The sequence below is a fragment of the Homo sapiens genome, chromosome 17 (genome assembly GCF_000001405.40).
Source record: "Homo sapiens chromosome 17, GRCh38.p14 Primary Assembly".
NCBI lineage: Eukaryota > Metazoa > Chordata > Mammalia > Primates > Hominidae > Homo > Homo sapiens.
Window position 1 is genome coordinate 18,549,760 of NC_000017.11, and position 15,224 is coordinate 18,564,983.

The window sequence follows — 15,224 nt, forward strand, 5'->3', positions numbered from 1 at the left end:
GTTCATAGTACTAATGAGAACATTATATTTGCATCTTGCTTAACCATTGACAGACGTATTTAACATTCATTTCCCATTAGTACCCAGTGGTACAATTTCGTGACTGAGGCATTTGGATGCTGATCATCTCATTTTTTTCAGAAAAATAAAACCTAAGCGAACAATATGATTAAAAATATCAGCTAGCTGGGCTCTTGTAATCTATGTATTAAAACAATCATTTAATGCATTCTCTTTTAAGCTATTTAGCCACAATGCTATCTAAGAAACCTTAGATTTGCTCTTCTATGATTTGTTAGGACACGAAATAGCCAGGTAAACACAACAAGGTTGAGGTTCATTCCATGTGGGCCTGTGCTACTTTTCTGTGCGCTAAGGAGATCATAAAAACATCAAAACTATAAGCCAATGTGCATCGATGGAAAATTTTAAAAACAACAATATACACAAAGAAAACTATTTATTGTTGTTCAAACAAATGTTTTACGGATTTTGTAATTTTTTTAAGAGACAGAATCTTGCTATGTTGCCCAGATTGGAATGCTGCAGTGCCGTAGCTACTCACAGGAATAATCATTGCGCACTGCAGATTTGAACTCCTGGGTTCAAGTGATCTTCCTGCCTCAGCCTCAGGAGCAGCTGGGACTACAGGTGTGTGCCACTGTGCCCAGTTTTTGTAATTTTCCCTCAGTTGAAAAATGGACAAATGTTAGACAAATACCTTAATCTGGGTCAAGCATAGTTGAACTACGTTTTGTTTTTTTTTTCCTTACCAACTCTATAGTTGATACAGCTCGTCATTTTTGGATCCATTTTGAAATCCCCAGAAATAGACTCTTACTCTGAGTGAAACCACACGGTTGAACTAAAAGGTTCCTGTTACATGTCCAGGGGAGATGTCCATGTGCAGCTTTACATGGAATTTGGGGTATTAAGAATAGAACTGATTCTGTTTGGTCACATTTGCTATTGAAGGACTCTAGATACCATTGCCATCTTAGTCATCAATTACTAAAGTTATGGCCAGGTAGAGAGACAAAACTTATGTGAGCTTTACTTTAAAAATTCAAATATTTATTTGATTTAACTATTTCAAAACCACTGTGCTATTGCATAGCAATAGACACATTTTACTAAAATTGGGATTAAAACACTATTAAGTGCAATAGCAATTACAGATGTACTCATGTAAGAAAATCACAAAACTTTGAACTTAAAGAACAGATTAATCAAGTGTTGCAGGTTTATATAACATACAAAAGTATTCACCTTGGGTCCTTTTAAATAATAAACATCCATGGGTGGTTAGTGTTTGGACACCAATCATTCACATATGATGACGGGTAGAAAACCTGAGATGATGCAGAAAAACTTTAAAAGTGACCCCAGGCACACTAAACCATTAAAAGTGAACCCCAGACAAACTAAAATCAATTAGTAAGACAAAGCACATCAAAGTAAACCTTTGGTTAAAATCTAACTTAAATGCAGTTTTTAAAAAAATTTAAAATGTGTCAGTTTGGTTACATTTATTAAATAAAGTTAACAAAGGAGTAATCTCTTATGAATGAGAGCTCCAGAGACTTAAAAATAACTGTAAAATTTCTGTCTCCTCTCTTTATTAACACAGGTAATTATTACTTTTACTTACCATACACAAGACAATTAAGTAACTGAGTATTTTACCAAATAACACACAAGAATTCTATCAGAAATCTGAACGCCGAAGGAAAAAAGATAGCTAACCTTCAACAAGTAGCTCTCCATGTCCTTAAGAGCAGACCTCTTTTTTCTTGGAATATGTTTTCTGTTGAGACCTTCACTATCATTAAGATTTCCAACGCAAGGTGACTTAGGACTGGCCTTGTAGCATAAGCAGTGAATAGAGATCTGGATCTGGTCTGCTCTTTCTCCACAGTAAGTTGCGTACTGACCTCTGCTATCATCTCATTAGTTCTACGAAGATTGAAAAAGACAAATGCTTAGTATTTCATTTTTTCCTAAATGATTCCTAAATGACTTCGATTGTTCTAAAAGTTGCCATTAAGAGTAAATGGAATATACCATAGGCCGTGTTTTAACTCTGAAAATGTGTTAGAGCATGCCTACTGTATCCAATTATAGTTTTAACATTGTTCTAAAGAAGTACATCTATTTCTAGAGGGATTTCTAACAAACAAGTAGTTCAAAGAGAGGGAGGGGACAGAAAAGACTATCAATGATGTATGGCTTCATAGTTAACACTTGTTGCCCATCTGGAATGACTCTACTTATACGATTCTTAAGGATGCCATTAGAATTACTTGTATTCCAAGGGTAACTATGTGAAATGATGAAGATATTAATTTGCTTGACAAAATAACCATTTCACTGCGTATAAATATATCAAAACATCAAGTTGTACTCCTTAAATATATACAAGAAAAAAACTAAAAGTAAAAATAAAAGCTAGAAATACTTGTATTTAGTAAACAATACATGTTGTTAGAGATTGTCTAAAAAACTCTCTCTCAAAGACATTTTCAAACAATTGTTTTCACCACCCTTGTATATTTCACCCATTATCTGGAAAAAATTGAGCATTTGGCACTGAGGAATCATTCACGGCGACTTTTCCTTGGGGAGAATAAGACTGCTGAAATCAAAGAGAACTAAAGCAGCATCGAGGACAATCAGCTCCTAACACTGTGGCCCATGTATCAGAGGTGGGGCCTGCCCTTTCTGTCTTCCATATACCCCCTCAGGCTGACCAAGGTGTTATTTTTTATCACTTAGTAAGTTATACTTCCCTTCAACCCTAGTTGATCATTCTCTGCTTCACAAGTGTGCCTTTATGTGGATTGGAAAAACTATACAGGACACTTCTTCTCAAGGCACCCTCTAATGATCACAATCAAGCAAAGTGAATTTACTGAGTGCCAGAATGTGTCCAGAGTAGTCGTACTTGACCCTTTCGGTTTTCAGCTGTCGTCTTCCAGAAATTAATTAAATTCATTAATATTTTGAATTAAGGGAATACTGACAAGCAATTTTTATAATGGTATCACTGTCTAAATTATGAAGCTTCATAAATATTTAGCTGAAACCCTAATAGATCAGGTTAACTATATAAGAATATTAAGGGGTGGGGGGAAGCCACATAAAACCAAAAAACAGGAGAGACAGGAACTGTCCTGGACTAAAGATTTTAAAGGTTACGTTCATTTACTATTTTCAATTTTACTTAAAGGTTAAGTTCATTTACTATTTATAATTTACAATTTTCCAAAATTGTATGATCTAGTTAGCTTTCACTTCCCACAAATCTCATGAACCTGTCTCACTAAAAGTCATGCTTTTGAAGGCAAATTAATGAGCTTAACTTATTTTCTATGATTCTGCATATTGACTTACCTACTGAGTTCATTTGACAAGGATTCTCTAACTTTTACTTCTTCTAGGTAGAGTTCCTTATATCTTTCCAATTCGGTTTTATTAAAGTCGGCTTGCGAAGTTTTTATTCTGGAGATTTCAGATTCCAGATCTTTGATTGTGAGTTCCATCTGAGTTTTTATTGAAGTAGTATTATCCTCCCTTAACTGTGCTAACTGTTCATGAGATACTGCTGCTTGTTTCTAAAATAAATTAAAAGGGAACATTTTAAAAGTAATTATAACCTGAATAATTACTGTGTATTTGTTTCCTTTTGTTTGGAGTCAGTGACTCAGAGAACAATTTTAAGTATGTGATTCAGAGAACAATTTTAAGAAAAATGTGAAGAAAGAAAGAAGCTCAAGCTTAACATATTTATCACCAGTACCAACTGAATTAATAACTGAATCTGAATTGTTGAACAATTCTCCAAAGAATGACAGAACCAAGTTAAAATTTTAAAAGTGGAACAACGTAACTTAAAAGCAGTTCAAGAGTATGGTATAATTTCTAAATCACAATTTTTTTTTTTTTTTACTTTTTCTATTAGTCTTGTTTTATGCCAACTGGCTTTAGTAATTAAATGATTCTCTAGTGAGAATTATTCTTATGGAAGATCAATTTAGTTATAAGAATGATGGAAACGAAAATATTTAAATGGAGAAACAAATACCACCTTCCTTCTAGAAGTCTACCAAACAAATTGCTGTAAGGAAAGTAGAGAAAACATGTACAATGTATATATCCAAAATAAAATTTGCAGTGAAATGAATGAAAGCACATTACAGATAAATGAACCAACCTGCAAGGTGAGAACGGCTTCGTTTAATTTTTCTTGTATCTCCTTCCTTGCTCTTTCTTCAATCAACAGTTTATGCCGTTCACCTTCACCACGTTCTAACATATTTCTTTCCATATAACTTTTGAGGTTTACTACTTCTTGTTTCAGCTGCTTCTTATTCTTCTGTAGTGTTTCACATTGCTTTTGTATTGCTTTCATAGAGAATAATGTCTGTTGAAGTTGAAGAACTTCATTCTCTGCATCCAGATGTAGACATCGTGAAGGTACAGTTTCCTGTGCTTCTGTAAGGTCAATCTGCATGAGTAAAACAATATAGTTTGGTAATGAAGAAGGTAGACTGAGAATGGTCTAACAAAAAACTAATATTTTTTTTTTTTTTTTTTTTTTGAGATGGAGTCTCGCTCTGTCGCCCAGGCTGGAGTACAGTGACGGGATCTCGGCTCACTACAAGCTCTGCCTCCCGGGTTCAGGCCATTCTCCTGCGTAGCTGGAGTAGCTGGGACTACAGGCGCCCACCACCACCCCTGGCTAAATTTTTTTATTTATTTATTTTTTATTTTTAGTAGATGGGGTTTCACCGTGTTAGCCAGGATGGTCTCGATCTCCTGACCTCATGATCCACTCGCCTCGGCCTCCCAAAGTGCTGAGATTACAGACGTGAGCCACCGCGCCCAGCCAAAACTAATAATTTTTGAAATAAATTCAGTTGCAATAAAATGTTACCTATACTGTTGTAGATTCATAAAATACAGACCCTTGGATTACTCAGAAAATTAAAAACAAAGTTAAAACCACCAGAATTCACAAAAATACATCCTTTACTTTCATCATCTTTGCCACACAACATTTGGACTTGATCTTAGACTTCTGTTTTCCTATGATTGTTTCATGGCTTTCCTCCTTAAAATGGCTCTAAGTTACCCCTTTAGCACAAAGTCTCTTATTCCTTTAACCCACTATCATTCTCCATAATTTGCAGAGAAGTTTTAGGGGCATCATATTGAATTATTTGGGCCTGAGTCAATAAATGGCTCCCATAATAAGACTCTGAAAATAAGACTCTAATTAATACATTTTGAAAAAAAAAAAAGGATTCCAATACCATAAGCCTTTTGCTGAACTGCAAATGTCTTACGCTAATTTGAGTTACATTTCAAAGAGTAATGATACTTGGAGTTAAGAAGCAATCACATCTCCCAGTATAAAAGTTCAGTGGCATGATCCATACCATTTTTCTGAAGAAAAATGCCTTAATTCAGTAGCACAATCTTGTAATTCATTGTTACTTTACACAAAATAAGGGAGCACATTAAAGAATGACAACAAAAAATTGCACTGAAATTTCAGTGGTGCTGAGTTGGAAATAACTGCTTTCCTTTAGAGGACATAATTATGATTGTTTTTTATTTTATAAAGGTAAGTGAAGTGGTGGTTTTAAAACATCTACAAATTGCTTGCCACTTCTCCCATGACATTCCCTCTCCTGAATACAAGCTGGCATTGACAACCGGTTTCTCCGGAACACAATGTGGCAGAACTGCTGTGTGACTTCTAAAGTTGGTTACAAAAAGTCACACAGCTTCTACCTGACTCTCTCTCTAGGGACGCTTGTCCTTAAAATGCAGCCAACATGCTGTGGGGAAGCCCAAACCACACCGTGAACCCTCATGTAGGTAGGTGTTCGAGCTGACTTCCCTACCTAACGTCCCAGCCAAAAGCCAGCTTCGAATGCCGCACAGGTAAATAAACAAGCCTTTAGATGATTCTAGTCCCCAGCTTTAAGTCACCTCAGCTGATGCCAAGTAAAGAGAAAGTGAGTTGGCCCCACTGAGCCTTGCCTAAAACTGCAGATTGTGAACAAAATAGATGTTGTTTTGAGACACTGCATTTTTTTATATACCAAGAAATAACTGATACAGATATTGACACTACATATAGATTGCACAACAACAACACAACAAAAACTACTAAAACATGTAGGACTACCATTGGACCAGGAGCTAATCAGAAGCTAAAAGGACCTACAGAAGAATAAGCACAAAAACAAGAAGAGTTTTAAAGAGACTGTTAGTGGAAGCCTGATGGTCCTCGAAGAAGCTGGTAGGAAGGGCTTCAAGGATAGTGAAGAAAACGATACGGGAACCTGAAGGAAAGGGCACTGTTACTACACAGCCGCTGAAAGTAAAACCAATGCAAGAGATAAGCTAAAGAAAGACTACTACATATAAAAGAACCAGGACTTTCTAGGTTCAGTATCCTTTTTATAGCCTCTCCACATGTCAGATTCCCAAATATAGACAGTCCTTGACTTAGCATGGTTCGACTCACCATTTTCTGACTTTTTATAATACTGTGAAAATGATATGTGTTGAGTAATGAAATGATATGTGTAAGCCTTTTGGCTTACAGGGGTGGTTACATCAGGATAAAGTCACTGTAAATGGAAATTATCGTAAATGGAAAACCCACCCATAACTTCTGATATTTGCAATTTATGATGGCCTATAAATTGCAAATATCAGACATAACAAATGCAAATGCCATCCAGACATAAACCCATCCTAATCTGAGGAGCATCTGTATTGCTGAGATAAATGGCCTCTGAGATAAGATCAAATCCAGGGTGCTGCCAGGAGAAAGTCTGAAGGTGAAGCCAAGACTGTCAGTGTAAGGCTCTATTTTAAGACCTTAGAAAGATTTAAGGCGGTGCCTCAAATTCCCTTAAAGATCTTAAGGGTATACGCATCTTAAGGCACTGTCCTACTACACAGAACAGTGTGCTTCCTTCACAGGAAGCACAAGGTGAAGTGCTTATCTCAAAGAGATTGGGACAAGTGGTTTTTCCAATGACAAGAACTCAAGTAAAATTCACAAGAGACTCTAAGAGAATTATAGTAACAATAGCACTGCTTGCTAGCTTGGCTTAAAAGACAACAAGACAGTAAAAATGAAAAGAGGCCTTAGGACCTAAGAGCTTCTACAGGGAGGAAGCTGGCTGAAGAAACTACTTAGCTGAAAACACAGGTCATTGCTTATGAAAAGGATACAACAAAGAGCCAAGAAGGTACCACAAAAAGCCACAGAGTATGGTTCCCATGAAGTCCAAATCAAGTAAGTGGAAGCACACATCAGGCTGTATTTCAGAATTTCTATGGTCTAATATTCCCTTTGTGACTCCCATTTTCTCTCTGTTCAATAGGAGGGTCTCTGGCAGTTTAGGAGAACGCTGGGTGGGTGAGTGGTAGACAAGTTGTCCCTTTAGTTCTTACGTCTTTGTGTTGACAAGAAATGCACTCAAGGGGTTATACCGCAGAAACCACAACCCAGGGTGCATCCCTACCGGCTGTGATAAAGATGGTAGGATCTTGCACTTCAAGCCTGAGCTTGCTGCCATATTAAATGAAACTTGTGTGTGTGTGGTGGGAGGTTAGGATCTTGCACTTTAAGCCTGAGTCTGCTGCCATATTAAATAAAACCTGTGTGTGGGGTGAGAGGTAATAATTAGAAATTAGTGTGTTTTTCAAGTTGTAGAAATCTTTTAAATTATAGTTATAGGGTCAATTGTGCAGGTTTTAAAACATGTCTATACATTCCTTAATATGCACAGCATAGACAGAGACATCATCGAGATGGCTGACTGGGAATACCCAGCACTCACCTCTTTCAAAAAGAAAAACCAAAACAGCAAGCAGGTAACCACACCTTGAGGAAAACATCAAAGAGAGTATACTGGAATTCAGCAGGAAATTGATAGGGATCCTCTGATGACAGAAGGAAAGGGAACTGAGGTAGCCAGCCCAGCCAGGATCATCTCAAAACCAGGACCGATTCCCCCAAATCCCTAGCCCCACAGAACCATATACCTGTGGAAATAGGTGGTCACCTAATAGCCCACCAGGGAAACTACTCTAGGTCAAAGGGATCCTAAGTGTGTGCTGTCTAGAGCCTAGGAGCCACCTGACTGACACCACTGCCACCACCAGCAGCCCTACCCCCTTCAGGGGCAGTGCTGTGCATACCTGTACATACCTTTAGGAGGCCGGAGGACTGGCCCACTCAAGTGTACCATGCAGGAGCCTGAGAACAAGCCTGTCAAACCCACCAGGGTTGGCGCCCATGTGAGCCATATGAGAGCCTGAAGACAAGGCCACTTTGCTTGCTGCTGCTATTGTTGCTATCAGTGCTCACATACACTGTCCAGGACCCTGAGGAGCAGCCCACCCCACCCAGGCCTCTGTGCCTTTACCCAGGCCCCGTCTACCACTAATACCAAGGAGAGTCCTACTGCCCCACCGGCACCTGCACATGGCATCCAGGAGCATAAAGACAGGGCTGCCTCACCAGCCACTGGCAAAGGCTCCTGCACGTGTCTTCAGTTAACCTGTGGACAAGCCTGCTCCACACACTGCCTTAGGTACCCACCTAAATGTTCCTCACAGGGGGCCAGAGAAATGCCCATGCAGCCTGCTTTCACCACTATCAGTGCCCATGCATGCTACCAAGGGATCCAAGGTCCGGCCCCCAGCTGCTACTGTCATCTCCAGTGCCACAAGTGTCACCAAGGTCCTTTGGCCTGGCCTGCTATTGCCACCTCTGATCCCAGCACACACCACCTGGAGGCCCAAGGGCCAGCCCACTCAGGTAACCCACTGCCACCAAAAACTGGGAAGCATGGCCTGGTGCTGCCAATCACACATACATCCTTGTGTATGCCATCAATGTGCCTGAGGACTGGCCTGCTGTCCTCCCCATCAACATCAAGGCCTCACCACAGCATCCCCTGCTACTAACAACCACACCGTAAGCCACTGAGGAACTTACAGACGCTGATGTTGATTACAGCAGAAGAAAGCATAAGTATATGGAGACCACACCAATGCACCCACCCATCATCAATGCCAGAGCACCATATTCAACCAACAACATAGATACATCTACAGAAAAAAGTCAACCCCTAAAACTAGATGAAGTGACTGTTACACCAGCTGCACAGGTATCAACATTAAGGACACAAGAAGTACGAAAAATCAAAGAAACATGACACCTCCAAAGGAACAGAGTAATTCTCCAGTAACAGATCCCAAAGAAAACAAAACCTATAAAATTCAAAATAATGATCTTAAGGAAACATAGTGAGATACACAATAATACAAAGGAATCAGGAAAGATTCCTGATAGGAAAGATAGGTAATACAAATGAATCAGGAAAACAATTTATGATCTAAATAAGAAATTCAACAATGAAAAAGATAGCATTAAAAGGAACCAAGCAGAAATCCTGGAACTGAGAATTCAATACATAAAATAAAAACAACTGAGAATGTTGGCAATAGACTAGATCAAGGAGAAGAATGAATTTCTGAACTTGAAGAGAGGTCTTTATATGAGGCCAGGCAAACAAAAAGCAAAAAGAAAAAAAAAGAAAATAAAAAGAATGAAGACAGTGTATGTGATATATGGGCCATCATGAGCCAAAATTTTTTCGGATATTGGGAGTTGCAGAAATAGAAGAGATGGGAAAAGGCACAGAAAACCTATCTAATGAAATAATAGCTGAAAAACTACCAAGTCTTGTGAGAGATGTAAACATCTGGATACAGATGTCTCAAAGATCCCCAAAGAAATACAATAAAAAATGTCTTCTCTGCGGCACATCAGAGTCAAATGTCAAAAGTCAAAGACAAAGAGCAAGAGAAAAACACCAAGTCACATACAAGGGAATCCATATCAAATAGCATATTTGTCAGCAGAAACCTTAGAGGATAGGAGAGAATGACATGATATATTTAATATGCGGGAAGAAAAAGACTGCCTGTCAAGAATATTATACCTAGCAAAGCTATCCTTTAAAACTGAAAAAGAGGGGCCAGGTGCAGTGGTTCATCCCTGTAATCCTAGCACTTTGGGAGGCCAAGGTGGGGGGATTGCTTGAGCTCAGGAGTTCAAGACCAGCCTGGCCAATTTGGCAAAACCCTGTCTCTACGAAAAATATACAAAATTAGCCAGGCATGGTGGCTCATGCCTGTGGTCCCAGCTACTCAGGAGGCTGAGGCACAAGAATTGCTTGAACCTGGGAGGCAGAGGTGGCAGTAAGCTGAGATCATGCCACTGAACTCCAGCCAGGGCAACAGAGTGAGACTCTGTCTCCAATAAATAAATAAATAAAACTGAAAAAGAAATAACGTCTCAGACAAGCAAAACCTGAAGGAATGCATCACCACTAGACTGATCCTACAAGAAATGCTTACAGGAGTCCTCAATCTGGAAGCAAAAAGACAATGTCTACCACCATGAAAATCAAAAAACTGTAAGACTCACTGGTAGAGCAGTTACAGAACTGAAAAAGAGAAAGGAATCAAACATTATCACTACAGAAAATCAGCAAATTGTAGAGGTAAACAATAAAAGAGGAAGATAGGAACAAATGATAGACAAAACAATCACTAAACAATTAATAAATGAAAGGAGTAAGTCCTCACCTATCATAAAAACTTTGAATATATGTGATTTAAATTCCCCAATTAAAGATATAGATAGAATGAATGGATTACAAAAAAAGACCAAATAATACGCTGCCTACAAGAAACTCATTTTACCTGTAAAGACACATAGACTGCAAGTGAAAGGATGGAAGGATATTCCATGCAAATGGAAACCAAAAGCACACAGGAGTAGCTATATTTATATGAGACAAAATAGATCTTAAGTAAAAAAAAAAAAAAAAAACATAAAAGAGAAAGAGAAGGGCATTATATAATAATAACAGGATCAATTCAGCAAGAGGATACAGCAGTCATAAAGGTATATATACTCAATACCTGAGCACACAGATATATAAGGCAAACATCACTGAAACTAAAGAGACAGATAGCCTCCAGTACAATAATAGATGGGGACTCCATAGTCTGACTTTCAGCATTGAAGGGATTATCTAAACAGAAAATCAACAAAGAAACATCGAAATGAACCTGCACTATAGACCACATGGACCTAGCAGACACTTACAGAACACTGTATTAAGAAGCTGCAGAATACACATCCTTCTCATTAGCACATAGAACATTCTCCAGAATAGACCATATATTGAGTTTAAAAGCTCATATCAAATATCTTCTCAAACCACAATGGAATAAAAATGGAAATCAGTAACGACAAAAACTTTGTAAACTGTACAAATGCATGGAAATTAAACAGCATGCTCCTGAATGAACAACTGGGCCAATCAATAAATTAAGAAAAAAAATTTAAAATATCTTGAAACAAATGAAAATGGGGAAAAAAATCAATCCCTATAGAAAGTGACAGAAGAAGCACTAAGAGGGCAATTTATAGCAATTAACAGCTACATCCAAAAAAGAGAAAGACTTCAAATAAACAACCTAACAATACACTTGAAGAAACCAAAAAAGCAAGAACAGACCCAAAACTCAAATGTAGTAGAAGGAAAGAAATGATAAAGGCAGGGCAGAACTGAATGAGGTAGACTAATAAAGCAAAACTGAAAACTATATTAAACATGAAAAAAGAGAAAACTCAAGTAAATAAAGAGGGAAACATAAAAGGAGATAGCAAAGAAATACATGGAGTCATGAGAGACTATTATGAACAACTATATGCCAACAAACTGGAAACGTATGGAAAATGGATACATTCCTGGAAGTGCATAACCAGCAAGAATGAACCAAGAAGAAAAGGAAACCTGGACAGACCAATAACGGTAATGTAATTGAATCAGTAATAAAGTTTACCAACAAAGAAAGGTCTAAAACTGGGTAAGTTACTCTGAATTCTACTAAACTTTTAAGGAAAAACTAACACCAATTTTTTATAAATTATTCCAAAATCTTCCTAGTTTATTCTAAAGGTCAGTATTACTCTAAGGCCAAACCCAGACAAAGACACAACAACAAAAGAAAACTACATGCCAGTATCCCTGAAGGATGCAGATACAAAAATTGTCAGAGAAATAAAGGGGATCCAGATTGGAAAACAGAAAGTCAAATTGTCTCCCTGTGCACATGACCTGATCTCATATACAGAAAACCATAAACACGCCACCAAAAAAGCCTGTTAGAACTAAAGAATTCAGCAAAGGTGCAGGCCACAAAATCAGCATACAAAAATAATGCCAATAGCATGTGTAACATTTCTATACACTAATAATCAACTAGCATAAAAAGACATCAAGAAGGCCGTCCCACTATTCTAGCTACAAAATAATAAAATGGCTCAGAATAAAGTTAACCAGAGAGATTTTGTAAAGAGCTTTATAAAAAAAAAAAAAAAACTACAAAACACCGACAAAAGAAATTGTAGAGGACACAAACATGGAAAGATATTGCATGCTCACGGACTGGAAGAATATTGGTTAAATGACCTTATTACTGAAAGCAGTCTACAGATTGAACGCAAGCTCTATTAAATACCAATTTTGATGTTTTTAGGGGAAGACAAGATGGTCACCACATGCAGCCAGGAGATGCCTCTCTGCGAGAGAGAAACCAAAATATCAAGTAAATTATCACACTTGGAGTAGGTCTTTGGAGAGAAAACACTGAAATTTGATAGGTAATGCAGGCATCAAGGCTGAAGAGGAATAAATCTGGGAAGCCTGCACAGAGTCACCAAGCACTAGGATTACCTCCCAATCCAGAAACTAAGGAAGGGGTGGGTGAAGGAACTGTGCAGCACCACACTCCCACCAACGAACTCTGGGATACTAGCTCCCGGAGATCCCTGGACCCACACAGACATCTGAACTGGCAAGAGGAACCGGCTGGCGAATAGGCAGAGGCACAGCTCAAACCCGCATACAGCCCAGAAGGTTTCGCACCTGGTACGGCTGCAGCAAAACATGACCATAGGCACCCATCCCCCAAGGCTCTCCATCTTGCTCTGAGTGACTCTAGCTCCTGCTTACTGCCAGGCCAGAAGACAGTAGGGCTGCATTTACCATGGGACTGCAGCATATCTGGTCTGTGTACCTTCTTGTCCACCAGCCCCTCCCAAGGCCCCTGCCTAGCTACTCACGCAAGGGTAAGCACACAGCACAGCCTCCACTGCCCCATCTGAGTGCTTTGCCGGAGGCCTGGGAGCAGTTCAGCCCCCACCCTCAGCACAGCCAAAGCTCAACCCCATGAGACCAGAAGACAAAGTCATGAACCTGGTCTCAATACCCCCCGGATTCAAGCACACTGCTCAAGTATACTGAGCTGGTGTCTGTGGCCTGAGCTCAAGAAGAGGAGTAGCTTTCTCTCTCACAATGCCGAGAAGAGAGGGCCCAAGTTCATATGCCAGTGTGGGAGCCAGGTGTGCTCCCTCTGCAACAGCAGTCCCCAACCTTTTTGGCACCAGGTGCTGGCATTGTGGAAAACAATTTTTCCACAGACGGTGGGGTGGGGATAGTTTTGCGATGGAACTGTTCCACCTCAGATCGTCAGGCATTAGATTCTCATAAGGAGCACGCAACCTAGATCCCTCACGTGCACAGTTCACAATAGGGCTCGCGCTCCTATGAGAATCTAATGCCGCTGCTGATGTGACAAGAGGAGAAGCTCACGTGGTAATGCTCACTCACCAGCCCTCCCCTCACCTCCTGCTGTGCGGCCCAGTTCCTAACAGGCCACAGACCAGTACTGGTCTGCCACCTGGAGGTTGGGGACCCTGTTCTACAAGATCTGTCCAGGAAGGGTGTATGTAACCTGTCTGTCCACAGCCTCTGCCTGAGGGAGCACCACTGCCTGAAACAGCTAACAGTCCAGTTGATCTGGGCACGGAAGGCTGGGGGACAAAACTACCTAGTTGGGCCTGCCCTGGGGGCAGACACTGGAGGGAGGCCTGGTTGGGTGAGTGCCAGCTAAGTGCTCCCCACAGCCATCTGCTAGGCAAAAAACTCTGGGCTGCAGGCACCACACCAGGTGCACACCCACAGAACCACAGCCCTGCCCGGGGATCCTCCCCCCTTGACCCACATTATATCAACAGACAACCCGCAGATCCGCAGACATACTCTACAACCTGCTCTGACTCTACCAAGCCCAGACAACCAGCACGTCCCCAGAGAGTTGTAGGTCTCTCGGCAACCTAACTTTTGGCTTGGGCCGCTGCCCTAAGGGTGGGAGGTGTGCAGCCCTCAAAATTCAGGTGTGGCACCAGTGATTGGAGGGGGCTCTCCCAAGTTCCAGGAACTGATTTGGTGAGGGGGTTATCTCTCACCTTCCCAATCCTACTTCTCCCCCTTCCCCAGAGCACTGCCGCCAACACGCTGAAATAGAAGAGGCATGCCAGCCCGTACTCTAGAGCACCATCTCCTGGATTGCAGACTGAATTACATCACCAAACAAAAATTATATACCTTCAACACACATCTGTGAAACCCAATGCAGGAAAGTAGCCACAAGGAAGGAACCTGTGTAGAGTCCTGGCCATCTGAAACCACCCAGAAACAAAGGCCAATCAACTATACACAATACACACCACAAATCCTCAAGAGAAAAAAAAGAACATAAAAACAAAAATCCCCATCCAAATGACAGGAATTTCAAAACGATAAAGAAACATCAGCATTTTCAGAGGAGGAATAATCAGCACAAGAACTCTAGCAACTCAACAAATCAGAGCATTTCATTACCTCCAAAAAATCACACTAGCTCCCCAGCTATAAATTCTCACCAGATTAAAGTGTAATGACATGCTTTATCACAGACATGTGATTCAGAATCTCAATGGCAACAAAGCTCAATGAGATTAAAAAGAAAGTTGAAATCCACTCCAAGGAAGCCAGTATAACCATCCAAAAGTTGAAACACGACAGAGCCATTTTTAAAAAGAATCAAACTGAACCTCTGGAGCTGCAAAATTCAACACAGGAGGGACCTTCAAAACCAGATGAGACCAAGCGGAGGGAAGGATTACAGAGCTCAAAGACCAGTCTTTTGAGTCAGCCCAGTCAGACAAAAATAAAGAAAAAACCATTTTAAAAATGAACAAAACATCTGAGGAATGTGGGATT

General features: G+C 40.0%; 1 pseudogene across 1 annotated transcript in view, besides 1 other annotated feature; it reads right to left on the bottom strand.

Moving 5' to 3' along the window:
* Positions 1-15,224, bottom strand: part of CCDC144BP (coiled-coil domain containing 144B, pseudogene) — an 87,818-nt pseudogene that overhangs the window by 11,960 nt on the left and 60,634 nt on the right. Inside the window, exons 13-15 of the transcript NR_036647.1 lie at positions 4,214-4,507; positions 3,394-3,614; positions 1,747-1,956 (exon numbers count right to left, since the gene is read on the bottom strand). The product of NR_036647.1 is annotated as a coiled-coil domain containing 144B, pseudogene (transcript). The remainder of the gene's footprint in view (positions 1-1,746; positions 1,957-3,393; positions 3,615-4,213; positions 4,508-15,224) is intronic.
* Positions 13,999-14,078: an enhancer, noted in NCBI's record as "active region_11839". NCBI's record gives its function as "activates an Ori minimal core promoter by ATAC-STARR-seq in GM12878 lymphoblastoid cells {active_cell/tissue: GM12878}" and the evidence as "EXISTENCE:reporter gene assay evidence [ECO:0000049][PMID:35858748]".